At 32.3% G+C, this 1788-nt stretch overlaps 1 annotated feature.

Moving 5' to 3' along the window:
* Positions 1377 to 1546: an enhancer, noted in NCBI's record as "experimental_49782 CRE fragment used in MPRA reporter constructs". NCBI's record gives its function as "activates a minimal promoter by MPRAs in K562 erythroleukemia cells, with activity observed for both the introgressed and non-introgressed 18:69028668 variant alleles {active_cell/tissue: K562}" and the evidence as "EXISTENCE:reporter gene assay evidence [ECO:0000049][PMID:34662402]".

Genomic DNA, 1788 nt, shown 5'->3' on the forward strand with positions numbered 1-1788 from the left:
GATGGGTCACAGAAACTGATAAATTTCTAGGCAGTTCATCTCTGATGGTCTCCTCTCTGTTATCTTTTTGAGTCAGGTTAATTTCTCAGCTGCTTTCTGCAGACTCACATACTCACTGGCATGCTGTGGCCAGAGTATATTGCAATGAAAATGAACAAACATGGCCCAAAGTCCTTATGACATTTCAGGTCCAGTGCTCACCACCAGCTCATGAAATTGATGTTAGTAACCTTTGGTTGAGTCTCTGCTTGGCTCCAGTGGCTCCTCAGTTCATTTTTGATATAATCAGCTATGACAGGAGGCCATATTCACCAGGTACATGCAGGATTATCAGGACTTTGCAGAAGGGGTGAGTGATATTTCAGGATCTTGTAAGATATTGTGGAGAAGCAGTTAATGAGGACATTATATTTGTTTGTTAAACTTTATGTTAAGATAGGATTATTTTCATACTATATAAAGGGTTTAGAATCTCTCACTTTGGGCTGTCATATGTTTACATTTATATATTTCAATATTATCAAACCTGTAAATTTGATACTAAAATTGTCATTAGTAATAAAATATCATTTAATAGAATGTAATTTATTATGCTCACCAAAAAAGATTTTACTATCTACATAAATGAGGCTAAATATTAAAAACAATTGAACTCCTGGAGGAAGAGAGTAGGATGGTTACCAGAGGCTGAGAAAGGGTAGTGGGCGGATGTGGGGGAAGTGGGGATAGTGAATGGGTGAAAAATAATTGTTAGAACAAATAAGATCTAGTATTTGCTAGCACAACAGGATGACTATAGTCAATAATAACTTAATTGTATGTTTTAAAATAGGAGTATAATTGGATTGTTTGTGACACAAAGATAAACGCTTGAAATAGTGGATACCCCATTTACCCTGATGTGATTATTTATTACACATTGTATGCCTATATAAAAATATCTCCTATACCCATTAATATATACACCTAATATGTGCCCACAAAAATTTAAAAACAAAAAAGAAGTGTAAGATATATGAAAATGAATTCCCGGAATCATTTCAATACCTGTTTGACTATGTTTCTTCTTTGAGGGCATTCACTTTAGTATCTTATGTCTTGCTATTAATGTCATCCTATTCAGGGACTAGAAACATTTATTTGATTTAATATAAATTGTTATATGTGTAATATCCACCTATGAATAATAAGGATTAATAACATCACATTTATTAGATACTTATTCTTCTTTGGAACAGTAAGATTTATGTGAGAAATGACTGCATTTAGAGACATCTGAAATTTCTTACTTTCGTTCTAAATTAAACACACCTTGGACAGTCTATAACCTACAATATTCTAGGACAGACAGGTAGCTGCTAATCTATACATTCAGTCCATAAATCTAGACTTTGTTTATTCCTAATTTTAATCAGAAGAACATTTCAAAGAAGATAAATAATAAATAACATTACTATGATAATGTTTACTGATAGAACCTATTGTGTTAAACTAAATTATCATATGTGGTCATTCTTTAAAATAGATAATTTAATTCTCCTTGTACCCAATTGTAATTTCTAAGTGGCTGTCCCTTGCTTCTGACATTGGAAGATTCATCAGGTGAGTAAATTTTAATAAACATGATTAACAGTTTTTCACAACTGCTTCTGATTAGGCTTATTTATATAAGCATATAAGCATCTAGGTTGAGTTTTGTGTTAAGTACAAGTACTGGTCCCAAGCAAAAAAGTAAAGTAGGCAGAGTTTATTTACAGTATTTTACCACCTTACTTCGTAGATTCTTAT

Source organism: Homo sapiens, chromosome 18, assembly GCF_000001405.40.
Source record: "Homo sapiens chromosome 18, GRCh38.p14 Primary Assembly".
NCBI classification, from domain to species: Eukaryota; Metazoa; Chordata; class Mammalia; order Primates; family Hominidae; genus Homo; species Homo sapiens.